The sequence below is a fragment of the Homo sapiens genome, chromosome 15 (genome assembly GCF_000001405.40).
Source record: "Homo sapiens chromosome 15, GRCh38.p14 Primary Assembly".
NCBI classification, from domain to species: domain Eukaryota; kingdom Metazoa; phylum Chordata; class Mammalia; order Primates; family Hominidae; genus Homo; species Homo sapiens.
The window spans coordinates 52,370,613-52,394,922 of NC_000015.10; the positions used below are offsets into that span (position 1 = coordinate 52,370,613).

Genomic DNA, 24,310 nt, shown 5'->3' on the forward strand with positions numbered 1-24,310 from the left:
CAATTAATTCAATTCTGTTTGATGTGGTAAGCAAGATGGATGTGATTTTCTCATAGTCACAGGGTGAGTTACATAGTAAATTCTTAATTTCCTGATTCTTAATTCAGAAATAGGAGGATCTATACTTGTTTTTGAAAACAGATCAAAATGTTGCTAAAAACCATTTACTAGCTTAGTGATGCGTACGAATGATTAAAACAGCCTCAAAATCCCAAGTTGGCCAGGTGTAGTGGCTCACACCTATAGTCTCAACACTTTGGGAGGCCAAGGCAGGAGGATCACAAGAGGCCAGGAGTTCAAGACTAGCCTGGGCACATAATGAGACCCCGTCTTTACAAAAAAATTTAAAAATTAGCTAGACATGGTGGTGTGTACCTGTAGTCCTAGCTACTTGGGAGGCTGAGGCAGGAGGATCACTTGAGCCCAGGAGTTTGAGGCTGTAGTGAGCCGTGATTGCACTGCTGTACTTTAGCCTGGGTGACAGGGTGAGAATCTGTCCTAAAACAAAAAACAAAAAAAAAAAACCCTCTCCCTACACACACACACGTTTCTCACAAATCTTTATGTTTACTACCTCAAAATTTCTCCCTCCCACTCAGAAAATCTTCCATCCCATTTCATTCTGATCCCTGTTTTGCTTTGCTCTCCTTAGCATTTTTATATTCTTAATTACCTTTATATCATTTACATGTGCTAAAATATTAGTAACTATCTTTAATCAAACAAACTTTTATCTCTGCAACAGATTGCAAGTTCATCAGAAGCATCAACATTTTCCTGATGCTTTTGCTATTTCAATGCTAAACCAACTCATCTGTAAAATGAACATGATACCACATGAAAATAAATGATAATTTTGATAGAGCATTGCCAAGTACAAAATACAGTATGCCTGGTTCAAGCTGGTGTTTGAAAAATAAGTAACATACAATATGACTCTTGGTCATAAAGGTTTGAAGCATTAGTAGATCTCTGTTCTCAAAAATAATTTCCTGCCAGGCATGGTAGCTCATGCTTGTAATCCCAGTACTTTGGGAGGCTGAGGCAGGAGGATTGCTTGAGGCAACAGCCTGGCAACATGAGACCCTGTTTCTACAAAATAAAAAAATTAGCTGGGTGTGGTAGTACGTGCCTGTAGTCCCATATACTCAGAAGGCTGTGGTGGGAAGATCACTTGAGCCCAGCAGGTTGAGGCTGCAGTGAGCTGTGACCATGCCACTGAACTCTAGCCTGGGCGACAGAGTGAGACCCTGTCTCAAATAATAGTAATAATAATAATAATAATAATAATAATAATAATAATAATAATAACTTCCTGCCTTAGTTTTTGCAATTGTGATCCACCTTATGAGTTCATAAGTACTTCCATGCCCATTATGGAAATAAATACGGTCATAATTTTACTTTTTACTAAGACCGAAGGGTAAAGTCAAAGAAAAACAATATTGAAAATAATCCTGGTGGATTTCTTCAGGCATACTCCACTCTCAGGGCCCCTTTGTGAAACACACCTGCTCATCAACTTTGCGCTGCAGCTGCATGATCTTGTTCTCCATGCCGATGTGCAGCTTCTTATAGCGCTCCACTGAGCGAGCCTCGATTTTGAGCTTCTTTAGCTCACGCTTGGCCATCATCCGCCTGAAGCAGCACTGAAGGTAGATGATGGCATGCATGCTCCTCTTGTAGTGTGTGCGGGCCAGCCAGCCCCGGACTCGCTTCTGAATGATGACTGCTTTGTGCTCACGGAGTATCTGCAGAAAAGGATAAGGGCAAGCAATGTCAAGACCCTGGACTACACTCATGATTATCAATCTATGTCGGGCTGAAAATCCACACATTACCTAGAGGAAAAGACATAAAAGTTGAATTGACAATGTACTATGTAGATTATACTTATCACAGATATATGGAGGCTACAAAATTATTTTTAAAAGTGATTTGAAAAGTAGACTTTAGAAGGTGATTTCAGAAACATACATAAAAATGTGTCATATGCACATATTATGTGTATAATTCTAAGCAGAATATAGAGTTGGAAGCTGTCTAAATAAAAAGCACCAGATTACCAAAAGAAAAACAACTATAAAAAGAAAGAAAAAATACATTAGGTTTCTTATTAGTATATGATTTCTGTTGGCAACAGATGATCCTCTATAAAATTAACAGAACCAGGCATCCTGTAAACTATGTGCTACTAAAATAAGAGATATCCCCACCACCCTGACTGCTGATACCACCTCACTATGCATTATTAGGCCCGTGCATGAGGACACGGGGTATGGGCAGCAAACTGTCTGTAGAGGCCAACACTTGGGGTACTAAAAAGTTTGTACTGATTTATTGATTTTTTTTTTTTTTAGAAACTAAAAGATGACACTCTTGTTTACCACATTTGAGGAATACCATTCTAGTGAGGATTTTCCATTGCTATTTCAAATGTAGCAAGGATCCACTTTTGGGATTCAAAGGTAGGAGGGATGGGGCTTTAAAATGAAAGGTAAAAGTAAAAAGATGTGAAACAAACTAATCTTACTTTTGATTTTATGTTACATTTCCTAAAAAAAAATGATATTTCCCTAAACTTATAAACAAACAAAAGTTTGCCTTATTAGATGAATTTGTTGTCGCTAAAGAGCACCAAAAAGACACCGTGTAAACATTTTCTAGGAAAGATGGAGAAGAAATTCTTGAATTTTAAGAAGAGGTAGCCAGGCACAGTGACTGGATAAATAAAACTATTAATGCCAATTTTCCTGTTCCATTTGCTTCTCCCATGTAACTTTGGACATGGGTCCATTTTTGTAATTTTAGTCAAATGGAAACAGCATTTAATCAGAGCTTCCATTTTCAATCTCACTTTCATCATGAGTGAGAGAAATTAATCAACACCTGTACTCTCTTTAAGACCCCCCCACTCCAAATCTCATGAAGGGGAACCTTGGACCTGAAATACAGCTAGAAGGAGCACTAATGTGATGGCTGTTGGCTTACATGTGAGCAAGCCTCTACGCTACCACCTTCCACCCTGTCCAGTCACAGTGGGAGCCTGAGCTGGCCGGAGGCTGCCACTGCTAAACCAGTGACCTCAAAACCCAGCTCAGATGTTCCTAAGGAAAGTAGTGAGGAACACAGGAAGGTAACTAGTTTGGTGTATCTGAAAAGCAACTTCAAACCTCTTTCCTCCCTAAAATCTCACGCTTATATAGAAAGAGCATGAGACTACATAAAGGAGGGGTGAGCAGAAAGATCTGGAGTAGCTATCTTCAAAACACAGCTATTAAATACACTCATTCAAGCCTCACCAGTTTCGAATTTTTTGTTGTCTAAAATCACTTCAAATAAAAATAAATAAATAAATAAATAAATAAATAAATAGGGCCTAGGTCACACCCATATACTGTCTGTGCTTAGAGACCCAAATCACCCCATTAATGCTCCTTCTAATGGTGATGTCCATAGAGCTCTAATATCCAGGCTTGTATTTCTCACTGATTTGAAATATAGCCTGTAGGATAGACTCCAAACCTTGCCAAAATGAAAGAGATAAAAATCGTTCATCAATGGTCACAGGTGATAATTAAGACTACTCTGGTGACCCCATTAATTATTGCTAGATGTAAGATTATTTGTCAAAAACTTTTGGAGCATTGTATCTGTCAATACAATTTTAACCACATTAATGTTATAATTTGCCTCCTCTTCACCATGGTAAATTCTTCCAAGGTTGTCTCATTCTTGGAATAACCTTTAACCTGTTTGTCATATATTCTATCTATTCAAAGTTCTCTGTAGTCATCTGAATAGGGGGCCCCAAGGAAATTAGGTGCTAATCCCTGGAACCTGCAAATGCTATTTATTCAGAAAAAGGGCCTTTGCAGATGTGATTAGGTTAAGGGTCTTCAGATGGGAGGATTATCCTGGATCACATGGGTGGAACCAAATGCTATCATAATTATTCTTATAAGAGGCAGATAGGAGAAGTCAAGTCAGATACACAGAAGAGAAAATGCTGTGAAAACAGAGGCTGAGACTGGACTGATGTGGCTACAAGCACAGGAATGCTGGCAGCCACCAGAAGCTGCAAGAGGCAAGGAATGGATTCTCCCCTGGAGCTTCTGGAAGGAGAGCAGCCTGCTGACAACTTGATTTTGTCCCATTGATAATGATTTTGGACTTCTGGTCTCCAGAACTCTGAGAGAATTAATTTTGGCTGTTTTAAGGTAACAAGTTTGTGATAATTTATTATAGCAGCCACAGTAAACTAACATACTTTTTTTTTCAAATTATATAAACAAAGAGAAAGAAGGAGGTAAAAGTTTTTTTCCCATTGTTTTGTTAATAACTGTATGTGATTATTTAGTATTTTAAAATGCATTTCAGGCTGGGCATGTGCACAATGGCTCATACCTATAATCTCAGCACTTTGGGAAGCCACAGTGGGAAGACTGCTTGAGGCCAGGAGTTTGAGGCTGCAGTGTACTATGACTGCACCACTGCACCCCAGCCAGGGTGACAGAGCGAGATCCTATTTCTAAAAAAGAATTTTTTAAAATAAATAAATATGCATTTCAATAGCTGGTTGTCCCCATACAGTTCCTACCTTCATTGTAGCCCCTGTGGTACTCTGTATAGATGTGAAATTTGGTTAATGCTAATAGAATGAATAAACAAAGTTGAAAATAATGCCTCACCTTGCGATACCTATTTCTGGCCAAGAAGCCTCGCAAGTAAGACTGAAGAACGATAGTGGCAGCTCGTCTAATCTTGTACCTCCTGCGGACCACATACATGCGCCAGTACTTTTGAATGATGGTTGCTGCCTTGGTTCTGCGCAGAAACTTAGCATAGCTGGCCAAAGAAAATAACATTATGTTGTCAGTAATCAGAAAAAAATGCAGGAATACATATTAGAGAAACTTAAAGAGTGTCACTGTTTTAGGCATAAATAGTACCTCCATTGTATTATTCTAATAATGTGCATGCTAAGTCAACATTTATATTTACTTACATTTGTATAGCAATTTATAGTTTCCCAAAGTATTTTTGCATTTATTATCTCATTTGAGCCCTCCCTAACTCTGGAAAGTAGGATGGCCCACATTGCCAGATTTTACAAGAAAGCAAAATTCACAAAAATTCATTCTTTCTACAACAGGATCCATTTACCCCAGGCCATGCCTCTTTATAGAACAGACAGACATACACAGTAATCTCATACTTAGTTATCACCAGCTTTCTTGGATCTAGCCATTATTCATCTACCATATTTTTCCTGATTTTGTTAGGCTATAAGCTCATGATTAATTCAGTTCTACTTATACTTCTCAATTAAAATTAAACTAATAAGTAATCACACTAAAGTGTAATTCTCTTCCAGACCCTCTCAGTTAATTGCTCCCAAAAATTATACAATGAAGTCATTATTACCTAGCTCATATTCACGACTGTTTTAATTGATACATGATTTCCTCAAGCCCAATATAAAAGTATCAAAAATAAAAATTTTGAGGACATAAGTAAGCAGCAGTTTGTAAATGTTTTGAAGATAAATCTGAATCATTCATAAGGCTGAGTGAAATTTTATTCTATTTAGCTGTCCTATGAGTTAATTTGTTGTCCCTTGGAACTAAGAAAAGGTGAGGTGTTATCTTTTCAGCTATGGTGACCAGTCAAAACTGTCCTTGGTTGGACAGTGAATTAGATGGGCACTCTACTCTGTCCCCAGGAGACCTACCATCGGGCCTGGTAGCCCCGCACGTATCTCTGCATGGTGATGGCTGCCTTCCGCATGCGTAGGTACTTCTTTCTCAGCAGCCACCCTCGGATGGTCTTCTGGATCCGGATGCAGGCAGCTCTCAGTTTGTCAGCTCTCAATTTTTCTAGATAGGCCACTTGACCGGCACGGAAAAAGATCTTTGTCTTACCAAACTGGTATTTGTCCTTGTCCTATTTTTGGAAGAAATTGTATATTCAGAAATAATAATCATATAAGTGAAATTTAAAAGAAAAAATGTCTAAAAGCAGAATCAGTAAAGGAATGACTCTATTAGCTAAAACTTGGGCTACATCACAATTAACTAATGGAGCCAGATTTTTAATCCTATGCAAGTTGAGCAAATAGAAGGGATTTTAAGAAAAACTGCAGTTTAAGAGTTATTTTCCAGAATTATTCTACCTGGAATTATTATCTGAGGCCCAAAACTTGGTTGTGGGTTATAGGCAGTTATTATTTGCTTGTTTGTGTTTTAAACATCTCAAGGAAATGGAGATGCTGACTCTCTCTGACTGACCCAGGTTGTAAGGATTACAGCGGGCTGTATATTCCATGAGAAGCTGAAGGGACAAAAACACCAGTGTGAAGAATAAGGCAGGAAGAAACGTTTATGAAATAAAATTCAAAAACCAAAAACCAAAATCCTTGGGTATTCATATTGAGTTATGTTTCTAAACAGTTAGCTCTTGGCTTTATCAATAATATCTGAAAACAAACTAACAAAACCCCATAAATATGTTTAAAATCCTACAAATTGGCCGGGTGTAGTGGCTCACGTGTGTAATCCTAGCACTTCGGGAGGTCAAGGCTGGCGGATCATGAGGTCAGGAGATCGAGAACATCCTGGCCAACATGGTGAAACCCTGTCTCTATTAAAATACAAAAAATTAGCCGGGCATGGTGGCATGCACCTGTATTCCCAACTACTTGGGAGGCTGAGGCAGGGGAATTGCTTGAACCCAGGAGGTGGAGGTTGCAGTGAGCCAAGATCGCGCCACTGCACTCCAGCCTAGCAACAGAGCAAGAATCCGTCTCAAAAAAAAAAAATCCTTTCAAACTCCTTTTACAAAAACATAATAATTTATATTACATTGTGATTCACCTTATCTAGAAGTATGCAAATCATTAATCATTCTTGCATCAAAGAATGGAATTTATATGTAAGAATCATTACTGTGACCTGGAATTCTTTTTTTTTTTTTTTGAGATGAGTCTCGCTCTGTCTCCCAAGCTGGAGTACAGTGCTGTAATCTCGGCTCACTGCAGCCTCCGCCTTCTGGGTTCAAGCGACACTCCTGCCTCAGCCCCCTGAGTAGCTGGGATTACAGGTAAACACCACTACGTCCAGCTAATTTTTGTATTTTTAGTGGAGACAGGGTTTCACCATATTGGCCAGGGTGGCCTCAAACGCTGGGCCTCAAGCAGTCCGCCCGCCACGGCCTCCAAAAGTGCTGGGATTAAGGGCGTGAGCCACCATGCTTGGCCATGTGATCTGAAAGTCTAAGGGAAAACAGAGAAAATCATTTTTCCCTATGAGTAGATATCTCATATTATCTCATATATGAAACCAAAAAATCTGACACATCCACATATATCTAAAAAATCTACAATTATTTCAATTTAAATCAATAAAGTTTACATTGGAAACCTAGCTAGAAAAGTGGTCCTTACCCGCATCCCGCTTCACACCTCACACCAACCCTGCCTCCATCTTTCAGCCTCCTCTGCCTAACTAAATTCCCACAAAGCCCTGATCCAGGCCTGAAATGGCCTGGGTGAGAGGACCAGGAATAGGCCTGTTCCTACTTTCTGCTCTACATTCCCACCTGAACACAGGTTAGAAGGGGATTGGGCAGGCTGGGCGCAGTGGCTCACACCTGTAATCCCAGCACTTTGGGAGGCCGAGGCGGGCAGATCACGAGGTCAGGAGTTCAAGACCAGCCTGGCCAACATGGTAAAACCCTGTTTCTACTAAAAATACAAAAATTAGCTGGGTGTGGTGGTGTGCACCTATAATCCCAGCTACTGGGGGGGCTGAGGTAGGAGAATGGCTTGAACCCACGAGGCGGAGGTTGCAGTGAGCCGAGATGCCACTGTACTCCAGCCTGGGTGAAAGAGCAAGACTGTCTCAAAAAAAAAAAAAAAAGAAGGGAATTGGGGCAAACTCAAAAAGCCCCAGTTAAAAAAAAAAAAAAAGCATTGCTGAGGAAGTGGCCTTAGCTCTTTCAAGGAAAAAATATTATTAACAAAAAAAAGGCATCACATTTAGTTCACAGCTAGTAATTATGATCAATTAGCTCAAAGTGAGGTACTCCATCTAGGATAGTGTTAACCAAGTGAAAATATTATTTTAAAAACTTTTCATGAATCTTTAATTCTCTAAGACCAAGATCAGTAGTTCTCAAAATATAGTCCTCAGACAGCATCGGCATCACCCGGGAAATACAAATTCTTGGGCCCAACCTCAGACCTACTGAATCAGAAATTCTGATGGCGGGGCCCAGCAATCTGTATTTTAACAAGCATTCCAGGTCACAGTAAAGTTGGAGAACTCTTTAGCCTGGTCTGCAAGACTCTCTGTAACACCAACCTACATTTCCTAACCATTTCTCTACTGTCCCATACACAAATCTCACACTGCAAAAAACTGTTTTCTGAGCAAACCCTATGCTTACCCTGCTCTTACTCCCTCTTATAATAGTCTCCTTCCATTTTTGCATAACCTTACCCATTCTCAGGGCCTGACTCAAAACACACCTCTTTGATGAAATCTCTCCTTCCCATAGCTGGACGTCGCTTTGTCATCCCCTGATTTCTTGTTCCATTCATTCAGCATTTGATATAGACACTACAGTTAAATATTATACTCGTCTTTAAAAAGTATTACTTTCCAAGTAAGACTATATTACCTGAGAACAAGCTTTATTTTTTCTTAATCACACAGCATTTGGCCTGGTGTCTTCTAGATGTAAGTACTAGGTACACTTTTATCAATAATAATCAAGCTGTCTAAGAAGAATGTGTTTCAAATGTGGGTCCAGGCCTCACAGCTCTGCCTCCTGACGGTGGACTATCATCCTCGCTAGTTCCAGCATCCTAAACACAGTAGTGTGCCCCTCTCTGATCCCACCCCGAAATGATCTGGACTAGTAAAATGTTATACAAAAGTTCCCGGGGCTTTCCAAGGTCAGAACCACAAGGCCTTCTGCTCAGATGACGGTAAGCGAAATCATTCTCACCAGTATCAGTTTCTCTAACACATTCTTGCATGTTTGCTTTCTGTCACTCAGCACATCTTTCTGCTTCATTAGGACACGGTAGCGGCTGAAAAATTCTTGGTAAGTCCACCTATTAAAAGAAAACCATCTGAGTTTACTTAAAGAACTAGGATCTTCTCCCATTAGGATCCCTTACATCTGAAAAATGCCAGGCTCACCGTGAGGGGAAACCGGCCGCACTGATTCGGATGGTTTCCAGGACACCACATGCTCTCAGCTGCTGCACTGCCCTCTTCTCATCAAACCTACAAATAAAAATCAAAGCTGTTAGTCCACAAAGAACCTGGCTGGTGGCCACAAATTACTCTCCTCAGTCAGGGTGTAAATTCTTTCGTAAGAGCAAAATGGATAAATCAGAAAAGAAAGCTTTCAGAAGTCGGAGCAGTGATCAAAATGGAAAACTATGAGAGAATGGGGAGGAGATGATAAGCAGTAAAAATAAAGAGCTGTAAACATTACCTGCAACTCAAACCACAAACTCATAAGAGTGTGCTGGGCGAGGTAGCTCACACCTATAATCCCAGAATTTTGGGAGGCCCAGGAGGGTAGATCACCTGAGGTCAGGAGTTCAAGACCAGTCTGGCCAACATGGTGAAACCCCGTCTCTACTAAAAACAGAAAAATTAGCCGAGCATGGTGGCATACACCTGTAATCCCAGCTACTTGGGAGGCTGAGGCAGGAGAATCACTTGAACCTGGGAGGTAGAGGTTGCAGTGAGCCAAGATCGCACCACTGCACTCCAGCCTGGGTGACAGAATGAGATTTTGTCTCAACAACAACAAAAAGAAAGTCCACTGAGCACATTTAAAACAACACAACATGGCTGGGCGCAGTGGCTCACGCCTGTAATCCCAGCACTTTAGGAGGCCAAGGGCAGGCGGATCACGAGGTCAGCAGTTTGAGACCAGCCTGGCCAACATGGTGAAACCCCGTCTCTACAAAAAATACAAAAATTAGCCAGGCATGGTGGCAGGCGCCTGTAATCCCAGCTACTCCAGAGGCTGAGGCAGGAGAATCGCTTGAACCCGGGAGGCAGAGGTTGCAGTGAGCCGAGACCACGCCATTGCATTCCAGCCTGGGTGACAGGGCGAGACTCCGTCTAAAAAACAACAGCAACAACACAGCACTCCTTTGCACTTTGCCCATACTCATTTCATGGCATGGCCTGACAAGAAGCTCTCAGAAGTCATTAGCTCAGTATACAGAGCTCCCCTGGAATAAAGACTGGTCAACCCTGGAGATTTCTCTAACAGGAAGCACAAATTAAATATGCCCCATACGGTTATATTTTTTTAAAAATTACTACTGTTCTAAACATAGTGTCTACATCAATGAACAAGATTTTTGTTTTGTATTACATTTTGTATTTATTTTACTCTAGGCAAATGACATCTTCAAGTTAAACTGGCACTGAAGAGGAAGTAGAAAGGTTTCCCTTCGGCCAAATGATTGCTCCTGTGACTCCCATAGTTAAGTTCTGAGCGATCCATCCGGGCCTCCCCTGTGCTATCTTCTCAGGTGTCTGTTGGTGGTGGAAGAGCGGGTTGGTTGATAAAAGGTCATGGTCCTGAGGGCTGTCCAGGACAGAGGCCAAAGTGTAGCAGCTTCTTCCTGCTTCCCACTTCTTCCAGAAAGGACTTCTTGGTGATGAAGCAGAGAGAAAGACAGCAGTCCTTCAGAACTGTGCTCCAGTCTAAGGCAGAATCTCCAGACAGCAGGACTGGCACGGGGGTAGGGAAAAGGGCACTCATACACTGTGGAGGGGGTGAGGGGTGGGAGCTATTACAACCTTTGTTAAGTGTGCCTGGTCTTTGACCTATAAATTCCACTTCTAGAGTCACATTATCCCAATGAGATAATCAGACAAATATACAAAAATGTTTGGCACAGGATGTTTATTATAGCATTGTTGGAACAACTTAAATGGCCATCAGTAGGAACTAATTTAAATAAATATACTATGTCTACACAATGGGATACTCTGTAGCCATTATATGATTATGTGACTTTTTACTTACCAAAAGGGAAAGTGTTCACAATCTGTCAAGTTAAAAGTAAAGACTAAACAGCAATCATAGCACAAGGCCCCTCCTTTTGTGTCTCTCTCTCTCTCTCTCTCACACACACACACACACACACACACACGGAGCATGGAGGGAAGGGAAGGTGGTTAATCAAGAACAATGTATGACAGTTAATACCAGTTATCTCTCTGGGTATGATGGATGCTTTTTCTTTTCCTTTTTTCTTTTTTTGAGACGAAGTCTCACTCTTGTCCCGCAGGCTAGAGTGCAGTGGAGTGATCTCGGCTCACTGCAACTGCAGCCTCCCAGGTTCAAGTGATTCTCCTGCCTCAGCCTCCCGAGTAGCTGGGATTACAGGCGCCCGCCACTACACCCGGCTAATTTTTGTACTTTTAGTAGAGACAGGGTTTGACCATGTTGGCCAGGTTGGTCTCAAGCTCCTGACCTCAGGTGATCCACCCACCCTGGCCTCCCAAGTGCTGGGATTACAGGTGTGAGCCACTGCACCCGGCTGACGGATGCTTTTTCATTTATTTTTATACTATTCTGTATTTCCTGAAAACTGTCTTTACAATGTACATGTATTACTTTTAAAATTAGAAAAATAGGCTGGGCATGGTGGCTCGCGCCTGTAATCCCACTGGGAGGCCGAGTGGGGACGGATCACGAAGTCAGGAGTTCAAGACCAGCCTGGCCAAGATGATGAAACCCTGTCTCTACTAAAAATAGAAAATTAGTTGGGCATGATGGTGCATGCCTGTAATCCCAGCTACTCGGGAGGCTGAGGCAGGAGAATCACTTGAACCTGGGAGGCAGAGGTTGCGGTAAGCCGAGATCGCGTTATTGCACTCCAGCCAGGGCAAGAAGAGTGAAACTCTATCTCAAAATAAATAAATACATACATAAAATTAGAAAAATATTTCTGTTTTGTAAAAAAAACTCCAGAAAAATTGATTCTCCCTTCATGCATGGTATCTGAAGCAGGAGGAGGTGCTGGTGAAAACAGACACCCTCTGATGATTTCAGCAGTGGAGAAGCAGCAGGTAAGCATTCGCCAAACAGCCTTATCCCAGCCAGTGCTGGTTCCACCTAATGCCCAAATGAACAAAAATCCCAGAGAGATCAATTGAAGTAAATTCAAAACAGAAAACAGAACCAGAATGCTTGGTTGACCTCAAGTTTTCAAATCTTCAGATGGCTGCTAATTTACTCTCACATTCTCAAAAGGGACAAAAACTGAAAAAATAATCTACTGACTAGTGGTTTCCCTCTACAAGGCATGAAGACTTACCCAAATATTTTTTTCCTTATAAAAATGTAAGGAAAATATTAGTTTGCTTGGCTGGTTTGGCACTTCTTATAAGATATGTACTTTTTCACTGGGTGGTTCAGAAATACTTACGTGAATGGGAACTTGAAGTCATTAGGCTTGATACAGCGCACATAGTGAGGGGTAGTGGCATTGAGTGTCTCCATAAGCAGGTGCAGGGAGTTTCTGAACTGCATGAAAAAGGGCAGAAGAGGGTATCAAGGCTTTGTCCAAAGTCAAAGGTGAGGTAAAACAATGGGAAATTCCCTTCCTATGACACTAATGGAGAAAACTTTGCCACTTATAAACTTGACCCATCTTCAGAAGAGGAGCTGCCACAAAACAAGAATGCTAGGGCTTTTGGTTAAAATTTGCCTAAATTCTACCATTTTCATGCTTACTCTGCTAAATATAGATTCCTATACTCCCACTCCTTTTCCCCACAGGAAGCTACAGAAACCTGTTATGAGCTTAGTCATATGTAACTAACAATATAACCTTGCTTTAAGGCTATTTAATCACATAAAGTGGGAATTTTGATGGAAGATACTGGAAAACGTAGCAGATGACTTAAAAGAGTATAGGTAATGAATGAGAGAATGACAAAGGATAGGCAGAGAGGAGTTAAAATTAGGGACCTAGGATCAGGACTGGAGGCTGTGGACCTGGGTCAGGCCCTGTTTCTGTCTACACCAGGCACAGGGTCCCATGCACAGGACAGCAAGCTGAGGAGCGCTCAGCCTCCATTCAAAGCCCTACTCCCTGTTCAGGCACTAAGCATGTATGTAACATTTCCCACTCTCAGAGAACATAAGACATCAAAGAAAGGCGAGGGCCCTGTTCTGAAGGAGCTGACCGAGGCACTGTACAAATATAGAGACAAAACAAACAGAAAACTAAGCAAAGATGGGGTGGTCTGAGAGACGATATGCACGAGAGAATTAAGCTGTAGAGAAAATTATTTCGGGAAAGGCTTATGCAGAGTCACAGGTCTAAAACTGGGTGGAGAAGAGTTTTAGTGGATGGTGTCGTATGATCTCACAGTGAAAGCTCTAGGCTCTCCTCACCTGAGGATCCCACCTGGGAGGCTGAAGAGGGAAGATCTGAGGTTTCAGATGAGCCAGAAAGGAAGGAGCGTGGCAGCGGCAGCTCCCTGAACTCACCTGATGCCCCACTGTTTTCTTGTGCTCTTTGGCCATTTGGCCTGGTCTGCCTTTGGTGGGCTTTGCAGGAGTTCGTGTGAGGGGTGTGCGCCCTGAGGAGGTGGCTGAAGTTGGACTGATGGCCTTCTCATCATCTTGAAATAGTTCTGGTAGCATCTTAAACTAAGTCAGAAACAATATAAAGAAATTACATTCTAAACCAAACTTGAACGCAAACCTTCACAAAAGAAATATTACAGAGATTCCCTTCCTTAAGTAATCACTGTCAGAGTCACACTCCAGAAAGAGTCAGTATCTGTGCTAAGAGCCAAGAATATGAGAGGAAGGTGAGGTAAGTGCTATACAAAAATAACACGGAAAAATGCAATAATTCTACAACCATGTCTGGGGGAAAGCAAAGTCAAAACTACTGCACCCGGACTTGAAAACCTAATCCACAGGAAGTGACAAATCTAAACATATTAATGGGCTTGAACTATAATTATTTTACGAGAAAAACAGTAATTGAAAGTCTTATTACCTCAGTTCCACAAACTGTTTTAGCATCAGGTGGAGAAAAACACTAGTCCAAGTTTGCAAGTTATTTATCAAGTGTCTACTCACCTGCTTTATTTGTCTACCTACTAACTTAAGTGCTGAGCACTAACTGAAAAACATCACCGAAAATCTCAGCAGGAAAGGGTCATAAACAAATTCTACAATATTAGAAGGTTTTAAAAGTTATGAATAATAATTTTTGGAAGATAATTCGGGTTACAGAAAAAAAAGTTTAAAACCCTACCCATATCCTGTACATTTGATATTTGTTTTCAAGGGATTTATAACTTCAACAAATAATTCCTGTAATCAATTTTGTGTTCTATCAGGTTAGCAATGTGAAAGATTATTAAAAGATCTGGTACTCAATAAGTAGGTAGATGATATTAGTCAATATGGTTGGGAGAAATTTTATGGAAAAAAAGAGACTTCAAATGAATCCAAAGGAACATCTTGATGTATGTACATATCTTTACAACAGTGCCACATCCCATATAAATAAAACCAGTTCTTCTAATTAGTCAAGCTATATTTGCAACTATAATTATATATCTATTAACCTTAATACAACCTATTTAATCTTCATAACAATTCCATAAATTAGATGCTATCATGATTCTATTTTATAGATGAGAGATCTGAGGCATAAACTCAGTAGATGAACTGTGCTTCCCCTTATTAATCAGCTATACAGAAAGTAGAGGGTTAAAACTCATTTTAATGGTATTTGGTAGAACTGAAATTCAGTGGTATTTAGTCAAGTTGCAATTTATTTATATGCTTCCTGATATTAGATGTGGCCACAGAAGATTTCTTTATGGTGGAAAAATATCAAATAAAGCACCTTCTGATAAGTTTATAATTCCATATATATATATATTTTTTTAAACTCCTTTTCAAATTGTAAGCTAGAGGCTGCAGGAAAAAAAAAGACAAAACACATAAATACACAAACATACTCCACACTGTATTACTACAAAAATAATTCTACTCAAAACACATAACACAGATATTAATCTTCTAAAATTAGTACTTCCAAGAGAACACATTTACACTATGTGATACTGGCTTCTATCAGATGCAGTGAAATTATGAAGTTGATACTCCTAGATTGGGTTTCAGCAAAGACCAGCAGCAGAGGAAGCCTCCAAGCTATGTTAGGTAAATCACACACTGTCCCCACTTCAATGGAAACAATGTTACACAGACTGGCAGTCACTGCAAATGATTTGTCAGAATGCATACCCACCTTATGATGACTAAGGACTCAAAAGCCAATTAGAAAACTAAATCAGAATAAAGATAACTGATCAAAGATGCCTCAAGAATGAGAACCTGGCCAGGTGTGGTGGCTCACACCTGTAATCCCAGCACTTTGGGAGGCCGAGGTGGGTGGATCCCTTGAGACCAGGAGTTCAAGACCAGCCTGGACAACATGGTGAAACCCCATCTCAACAAAAAATTAGACAGGCATGGTGGCATGCATCTGTAGTCCCAGCTACTTGGGAGGCTGATGTGGAAGGATCACCTGAGCCAGGGAGGTCGAGGCTGCAGTGAGCCCTATGATCATCACATCACTGCACTCTAGCCTGGGTGACAGTGAGACACTGTCTCAAAACAACAACAACAACAACAACAACAGCAAGAATCAGATGAAAACCTGTGAATGTTCTGTTTCAGCTAAATTACTTTGACAAAGTAATAAAACTAGAATTTTATCATTACTTATAAATCAAACCAATAAAGATCTTTAACTGAATAATACTTAGAGATTGGCATTGTGGGAATTTTCTCTTACATATCAATCCTGTAAACTATAAACAGTTAATGCCCAGTGCCTGTTAGACACTTTAACTCTTTTTTTTTTTTGGAGACAGAGTCTCGCTGTCTCCGAGGCTGGAGTACAGTGGCACAATTACGGCTCACTGCAGCCTCAACCTCCCAGGCTCAAGTGATCCTCCCACTCAGCTTCCCAAGTACCTGAAACTATAGCCATGCACCACCATGCCCAGCAAATTTCTGTATTTTTTTGTAGACATGGGGTTTTGCCATGTTGCTCAGGCTGATCTTAAACTCCTGGGCTCAAGCAGTCTGCCTGCCTCGGCCTCCCAAAGTGCTGGGATTACAGGCATGAGCTACAACACCTGGTCTCGACTTATTTTCTGAAGGTTAAAACTGGGATTTGGTCTTCATGTAATCTTTATATTATCAAAATAATTGATAGTAAAGGTTTTTATTCTAAAAACAACAGTCAAAATATTCATATACTATTCCACTGAAGTTAAAAAGATTCTCTGAGAATAAAATAGAAAAACAAAGACTGCCAGTCAGTAATCTAGAAGAATTCACATGAAAATTTTTAATTTTTAGCTGAATACCTGAATATTCATTTTGCTGACCTAAGAAACTGGCTTCCTGCTCTGCTCTCTGTGGGATGAACATGAGCCATGTTCCCCTCCCCATTCTTTCCAGATGGAAGGTCAAGGGATGGAGGGGATCAACCTAATCATCAATACAATGTAGCCATCGTAGCTCTTACCATCTGGAATATTCTTTTCCCTCTAGAAAGCAGTGTCTCTAGTACCTATGCCTAAGAAAAATAATTTCAAAGTGCTTTGGGCCACACCTGGAACTGCACTCAGTGATGATCCAGAGATCAGTCTCCATCTGGATGGAGTGCGTAAGGCCACGTTTCTAGTACCTCCCTTCAAACTGACAGGGCAGAAAGACTGTTTTCTCTCATGGCCTCTCACCAAGGCACAATAGAGTCTAGAACCACTGTGGAGGCAATAATTTCACACAAAACTGAAAGAAACATTGCACAGGAGTTAAAAGCACAGACACAGCAAGACGGCCTGGATTTTAATTTGGCTTGAAAACTCGGTAGCCATGAAGTCTCTGTGTCTCAGGTGCCTCATCCATAAAATAAGAGTCATTAGATGAGTTAGCATTTTCAATACATTTAGAACAGGACCTGACATGCAGCTAAATTACTTTGACTAACATACTAAGTGTTATATATTTGGTAAATTAAAAACTGAAACAGATTTTTGTTAAAAAAATCATTTTTATTGTTAAAAAGCTAATGCTTTGCATACATCCTGGATTAGAGTAAGCCTATCCATAGTTACCTTGCTTGATTTAAGAACTTTAATTTGTTCTTCAAAAACGGTGTCTTTATTCTTTTCGAGAAATCCTTCACACTGGTATTCCACCTGAAAACACATGGAAAAATCTCCTTAACTGATAAAACTTTTGAATAGATATTATAATCATCAATAATAAGAATCTTTATTAGTCTCAGGCTATACGATCAACTCTCAGCAAACTGGTATTATCAGTCTTTTCCAAGAAACCAAGGCCATTCCTGGTAAGAAGTATGTTAACTTTAGAGTAAAACTCCTCAAATATCGTTTTTCCTAGGAAACAGTGGTAGCGCTGATTGTGATCTAAAAGATCCTCTCAGTTAGTGGGTGAGCAGATTAGATCCTCTTCTCCCATGCTGGCCAGAGAGCTCTTCCAAGGCTGACTCCTTGTATCTCCTTCCAACCTAGGTTACCATCAAGCAGTTGTGTTTCCTCTTAGAAGAGATTACAGCAGGAGTGAGAATCAGAAGGAACAAATGAGTGTCTGATGGGGACAGAGGTGAAAAGCTGCTGATGGATGAAGGTGAAGGCTGGGGAAATATTGTATGATTTGGTAAAGCAGGACTACTTGAGAATGGACTATTTCTTTTCCAAAACTCCAGCAACTTCAGTTGTCTGCCACTCAAGGGGGTCAAAGCTTGCATGACAAAACCTTTAGGTGGCCCTAGGGTCATCTCAAGGCTTCTAGATGGAATTAGGGCAGACTTAGAAAGTCCTCAATCCCTAAAGGAGACCCTGTGAAACTTACCCCAAAGCCTACATCACAGTCTCCTTGAAATATAAATTACTCTCATTGCTTGTGATTTTCTAAGTACACTATAGAACTTGTGAAGCAGTAAGACAGTATGCCTTATTAGAAGGGACCCAGTGAATCAATTGCAGAGGGTGACACAAGTCCACAATTGCTATTCTGAAACCCTTGAGATCAGCTATGCTTTAGGACTCAGAATTTTTGAGGCATTTAGAGATGTAGTATGTACATACACCATTTTTTCATATTTCCAGCAGAATGGAAGGCAATGATCTACAACAAAACATATTCATATTTCTATAGTGAAATATGAATATTTCCAGCCTAACTGGGATAAAGACAGACTATAAATAATCTCATGTTAATTCAGATCAGAGATCAGGTTTAGCTAAACGAGTTATTAAAAAAAAAACAGTTTACAGAGATTCCTGGATTTCAGAATTATAGAACCATACTTATTTCACAAATAACTCAATTTAGGTTAAAGGAAGAGAAAACCAACATGTCAACACTGAAGACTGCTGTCCCTTGAGCCCTAAAGAATGCAAACATCAGCAAAAGAAAAAAAAAGATACCTCCTGACTATTGGGTTTTTTCCACATTTAAGTATTCAAAAAGAAAAACTGATATAAAGCTTCCTTACTTTGTCAGCAAAATGTTGGATGATGAAAGCTTTGTTTGATAGACGAGGCTTTTCAAAGAGTGCACATTTGTTCAAATGTGTGTTGTACAATTTTTGGGCCCAGGTGTCATCTGTGCCTTTAGGCATCTATATTCATGGAAAAAAGGAAGAAAGAAAACAAGGTAAATACTGTGATTCCTCTAAAGCATCAGCTGTCAAAAGATCTTTTATTTTTTTTTTTTGGCTTTAACTAATAACTTTTACAATTCAATTTAGGAGTTCATTCCTTCCACATTTCATTGTTAGAGGCCAACAACCAATTACTAATGAATAGTATGACTGAGACCTTCTCATGGGCAACCCAGCCCAATCTTTGGGCAGTTCAATCTGCCTATATGAAAAATCATCAAATAAATTTGTTGTTGTTGTTGCTGTTTTTTAAAAAACAAAAGCTGGCCGGGCGTGGTGGCTCATGCCTGTAATCTCAGCACTTTGGGAAGCCAAGGCAGGTGGATCACCTGAGGTCAGGAGTTCGAGATTAGCCTGACCAGAATGGAGAAACCCTGTCTCTACTAAAATTAGAAAAAATTAGCCAGGCGAGGTGGTGGGCACCTGTAATCCCAGCTACTCAGGAGACTGAGGCAGGAGAATCCCTTGAACCTGGGAGGCGGATGTTGCAGTGAGCAGAGGTCACACCATTACACTCCAACCTGGGTGACAAAAGTGAAATTCCGTCTCAAAAAAAGAAAAACAAAAAAGCCTCCCAAGTTAAAGTTGAAATATCAGGGCTATTATGTACGTTTTTAAAATTCTGTTAAACAGAAAGACAAACATCACATGTTCTCATTTATTTGTGGGATCTAAAAATTAAAGCAATTGAACCTATGAAGATAAAGAATAGAAAGATGGTTACCAGAGGCTAGGAAGGGTAGCAGGAGGTTGTGGGGAGTGCAAATGGGGGATGGTTAATAGGTACCAAAAAATTAGAATGAATAAGCCCTAGTATTTGATAATAATTTAATTATACATTTAAGAATAAGAGTATAATTGGATTGTTTGTAACACAAAAGATAAATGCTTGAGGGGATGGATACCCAATTTTCCATGATGTGATTATTATACATCGCATGCCTATACCAAAATCTTATGTATCCCCATAAATATATACACCAACTAGTACCCACAAAAATTAAAAATTAAATTTAAAAAATTCTGTCAAATAAAGGTAACATCTGTAGTTACATAGTGAAGCATTTCTATAATTCAGAAAGATATAAAATGGAGAGTAGTCTCCTCTTGCCATTTCCTCCAACTTAATTATTTCTCCCTCTCTTTTTTTTTTTCTTTTTTTTTTTTTTTTGAGACAGGGTTTCACTCTTTTCACCCAGGCTGGAGTGCAATGGCACAATCTCGGCTCACTGCAAACTCTGCCTCCCAGGCTCAAGTGATTATCCTGCCTCAGCCTCCCAAGTAGCTGGGACTACAGGTGCACACCACCATGCCCAGCTAATTTTTTGTATTTTTTTGTAGACGGGGTTTCACCATATTGCCCAGGCTGGTCTCAAACTCCTGAACTCAAATATCCACCCACCTCAGCCTCTCAAAGTGCTGGGATTACAGATATAAGCCCATCATGCCCGGCCTTCTTTAACTCTCTTTGAAGGCATGTATGTGAATAGGATAATTCTACACACTCATTGCATTTTTTTCAGCTTTGCAACAGTAGTATTCTCTGCATTATTTATGGCTACTAGGTTGTTACTGATTTTTTTGTTATTACTATGACAACTGCCACAGTTTTCTTCTTATATGTATATACCTTGGATACTTTTGCAAGTATAATCAAAGGTGGAATTCCCAGCAGTTCCATTCCTGGGTCAAGGGTATGTAGTTAAAATTATGATAAATGTTGTCAAATATCCTATAAAGTATGTTGAATGAATTCATGCTTTTCATCATGAGTATATATGCAATATTCATTTAGTATTATCAAATGAAAATTATCGAGTTTAAATTTGCCTACTGGATGGGTCAAGAGCGGTGTACCATTTTTGCTTTGGTTTGCATTTTTTAAAATCTCAAGTGAGGCTGAGAACCTTTTCATCACATGCATCCTCAATGTTGTAGGAAGTCTGGATGCTTAGGAGGGTACACCTGTGCTAAAATGTAACTTACTGCATATAAACTAAAGAGAAATAAAGCGAAAGAATAGGTTTGCCTACGATCACTCAGTGGTAAAGCTGGGGATCTAATGCTTTTTTCCAACATGGTGCATCTTTAAATATTAAAGATACAACTCCATCCCTCTCAAATATGTCAGTAATAAGGAACAACTAGTTAGTTTTACAATTATAACTATTTAGAACTGTTATTCAAAATATCTTCTGCACAGTTTCTTGCATTTCTTTAAATTCTATCGCTGACCAAAAAGTACTAAACAAATTAATAACAAAAGTGGCTAAAATTGTTAGTATCTAACGTCAATTTTTCATGTAATTTAGAATCAGCTGAAAAGAGGAGGGAAATTCTCCTAGTTTCACTTGTAATTAGAACCCTTGGGGTCTAGTGTCCCTTTGGAATGAAAGCATAACCCCTACTTGTCACCACGACGGCATTCCATGATATACTAATGAATCTCTCCTTGAACCCACTTATCTTCTGACCTTGATACATCTATTTTGATAAACCAAGTACCCCAGGAAATCATACTTACCTTGCATTCCTCATCCAGTAAATCTAGAATGCCTAGTTTTGATTCTATAAGATTAATACAAGGCTGATTATCATAAAAATCTATGAGTGTCCATGGAATTTGTTCCTTCATATATTCTTCTTGCTCCAATTTGAAGACATGCTGAAATGAAAAAGAAAAAAAGCAGTCATTACTGGATCATTGTAACAAAGAATGTAGTCAAGATGATACCAACATAATTTGAGATAATCTGTGGCTTTCAACAACAACAACCTCACGGGAGAAGCATGATTTACACACAGAGAAAGCAAATAAAACAACAGGAAAACCTCAGCTACGTAGGATTCTTGGTAAACAAGTAAATCTAGGTATATAAATATTTTAAATAGCTGATCAATGTAGCAATCTTTGTGATCTTTTGATTATGTATATTTTCAAAACTGCACTATGTACTTTTGGCTTCTTAAGTTATCGTAGAGTGCTGCTAACAACATGGGACACAGGAATGCCTTAGCTGGCATTTAACAACTATGTTGATGCCCTCCAGGCTACTGAATCATGCTGGGCAATGCTTTCAGCATAACAAAGTACTTCTCCTAAGGGACTGTGGTGCTGAAGTTCACGTGGCTCAGAATTAGTTAATGACTGGTCTTTCTCCTGACTGCCCTGATTATCTGTGATAGTCATGGAGTCTACGACTCACTTTTCTGGTTTCCACATTAAATTCTGTTAGCAACTGCAACTGCTAGTCCATTGCTATTTCCGATGAAGCCTTCAGCCACTGTCCTCACCATTGCTTCTCATCTCCATTCACATAAAAATATGTATTAACTGTCTACCATGTGCCAGTCACTGCACATGGGCAACAACACCGATGTGGATGTTGCCCTCATGGAGCTTGGAGACAAGTGGAAGAAGCGGACAGAAACCAAATAACCATAAGGAATATAATCACAAGCTGTAGTAGTATTACAAAGGAAAATAACGTGAACTATAAGAGCAAGAGTCCTCATCTAGTTTGGACACAGGCTGGTCAGGGGAGGCTTCCCTGAGGAGGGCTGTGTGATTTAGTCTCTAAAGATGAATGGCAGCCAAGCTAGTCCGGGTGGGAAGGGCAATCCAATCACTGCCACAGCTCCTGTTTCAGGGTGCTGCCCAGCCACTGCCCAGCCAATGCAGCTGACACCACCACTTCTAGTCTCTACAGATGCTAATGACTGCTACTCATTCTTGGGGAGTTTCTGCCTTCCTTTACTTATCTCTTTTGTCTCCTTTGGTTCTTTCACAAATCTTGCTATTTTTGTGGGAAGAAAAGACTTTCGTGGTGATGATCAAATGACCCATATTTTCTAGGACCCCATGCCCTGTGAAACTTACGTGCCACAAGATTTCCAATGCATACTCTCCTCATGTGTCTGGAACTTTCCCACTGTATTCTGTACTTATTGTAATGCCACTCTTGGCTCATTTGCAGTGTTTTTTTTTTCTTTTCTTTTTTTTTTTGAGACAGAGTCTTGCTCTGTCACCCAGGCTGGAGTGCAGTGGCACAGTCTGGGCTCACTGCAACCTCCACCTCCCGGGTTCAAGCGATTCTCCTGATTCAGCCTCCTGAGTAGCTGGGACTACAGGCGTGTGCCACCATGCCCAGCTAAATTTTTATATTTTTAGTAGAGACGGGGTTTCACCGTGTTAGCCAGGACAGTCTCGATCTCCTGACCTCATGATCTGCCTGTCTCGGCCTCCCAAAGTGCCGGAATTACAGGCGTGAGCCACCGCGCCTGGCCTCATTTACAGTGTTTACAGTCTAACGAGCTATTATAAGCTTTAACAAAAAACAGTCATCCATATGAATATTTATGTCATGCTAACAAGAAAGCAAATTTCTTCTGTTCTTTTGATTAATGAGAAGGCAAATAGGGCACCATATGTCAGCAGGACACCCTGACTGATGGTACGAGTATCTTCCAAAACAATGTGCTCTGTTTTTAAAAATTTCATTAATTTATATGTAGTCTCAATATTGACAATAGAAACACTGCTCTAGACATTAAATAGAGCATATTACTCACACACATCTCCATGTCTAGTTTGGAAAAGCTCCTGGGGTCTTTAAAATTTGGGATGCTCAACTGTCAAAGAATATGGGCATGAAGTTCAATATGGCAAGAGATTCTTGGTCAATATAGTAATGCCTTCAAACACTAAGCATGCCAACCACGGGATTTCTCATGCTGACTGCCCCCACCTACATCCCCAGATCAGGTAACAGCCCTATGCAATCAAGTTATTTATACTGTGAGACCCCACGTTCCTAGTCACAGCTGACTAAACCAGTGTGGGTACATGAGGGCAGTCTCCTGCTAGAGACCTCTGATGAAAAAATGAACAGTGTTAATCAGATTCTCTCTCTCAGGTATTTGAACTGGGAAACAAGAAAATAATGAGGCAATTAGTAGTGGGAGTTGAAACTGAAAGAAGCCAAAATGAATGGGAGATAAGCAAGTTAAGAGGACGAGCAGAGCATTCCAACCACTGCTGGGTTCACAGGAAGTTTAAAGTGAGTGAGAAAGGAGAAAGCTTGAGGTGGAGAAGATGTATACAGACTAGAAGGAAAGAACCTGACATTGGATAGGAAGAGGGGGCAGAGCAGTTGTGCAGAATCGAAGATGCAGAATGTAAGGGGGTATGTGAAGAGAGAAGGAGAAACAGGTGGATAGAGACAGACAGCAGGAAAGAGGAAGAGACGCAAGAGACCAAAACACACATGCAGACAGGAGGCCCTTGAAAAACAGACAAACTAGCCAGTTCCTAAAGAGGCTGGCATTGCTTCCTTACATTCCAGTCACTCTGTGTGGAAACACAATGGGAAAGAGTGAAAGGCTGTGGCATTAACTAAAGTATTAAGAAACTCAGGAACACCTTGAGAAACAATAATGCTCAGTTTAGTTTCTGATAAGTTTTTATTAATGTTCTTTATGCAGAGATGCAAATCATATTAGTAGTCATCTTATTAT

General features: G+C 40.2%; 1 protein-coding gene across 12 annotated transcripts in view, besides 4 other annotated features; it reads right to left on the reverse strand.

Annotated features, from left to right (window-relative positions):
• MYO5A (myosin VA) overlaps nt 1-24,310 on the reverse strand; it is a 221,768-nt gene that overhangs the window by 63,330 nt on the left and 134,128 nt on the right. For all 12 annotated transcript variants that reach the window (XM_047432544.1, XM_047432543.1, XM_047432540.1 and 9 more), the window contains 10 exon segments: nt 21,318-21,458; nt 18,626-18,751; nt 17,217-17,300; nt 13,549-13,710; nt 12,479-12,576; nt 9,210-9,296; nt 9,013-9,121; nt 5,735-5,946; nt 4,692-4,848; nt 1,512-1,751 (listed from right to left, as the gene is read on the reverse strand). In XM_047432544.1, coding sequence (XP_047288500.1) covers nt 1,512-1,751; nt 4,692-4,848; nt 5,735-5,946; nt 9,013-9,121; nt 9,210-9,296; nt 12,479-12,576; nt 13,549-13,710; nt 17,217-17,300; nt 18,626-18,751; nt 21,318-21,458 — 1,416 coding nt within the window.
• Nucleotides 8,707-9,096: an enhancer, noted in NCBI's record as "active region_9427". NCBI's record gives its function as "activates an Ori minimal core promoter by ATAC-STARR-seq in GM12878 lymphoblastoid cells {active_cell/tissue: GM12878}" and the evidence as "EXISTENCE:reporter gene assay evidence [ECO:0000049][PMID:35858748]".
• Nucleotides 12,872-12,931: an enhancer, noted in NCBI's record as "active region_9428". NCBI's record gives its function as "activates an Ori minimal core promoter by ATAC-STARR-seq in GM12878 lymphoblastoid cells {active_cell/tissue: GM12878}" and the evidence as "EXISTENCE:reporter gene assay evidence [ECO:0000049][PMID:35858748]".
• Nucleotides 12,972-13,201: an enhancer, noted in NCBI's record as "active region_9429". NCBI's record gives its function as "activates an Ori minimal core promoter by ATAC-STARR-seq in GM12878 lymphoblastoid cells {active_cell/tissue: GM12878}" and the evidence as "EXISTENCE:reporter gene assay evidence [ECO:0000049][PMID:35858748]".
• Nucleotides 21,468-22,144: an enhancer, noted in NCBI's record as "OCT4-NANOG-H3K27ac hESC enhancer chr15:52684277-52684953 (GRCh37/hg19 assembly coordinates)". NCBI's record gives its function as "activates a minimal SCP1, AML or CMV promoter by ChIP-STARR-seq in naive H9 embryonic stem cells {active_cell/tissue: H9 hESC(naive)}" and the evidence as "EXISTENCE:reporter gene assay evidence [ECO:0000049][PMID:30033119]".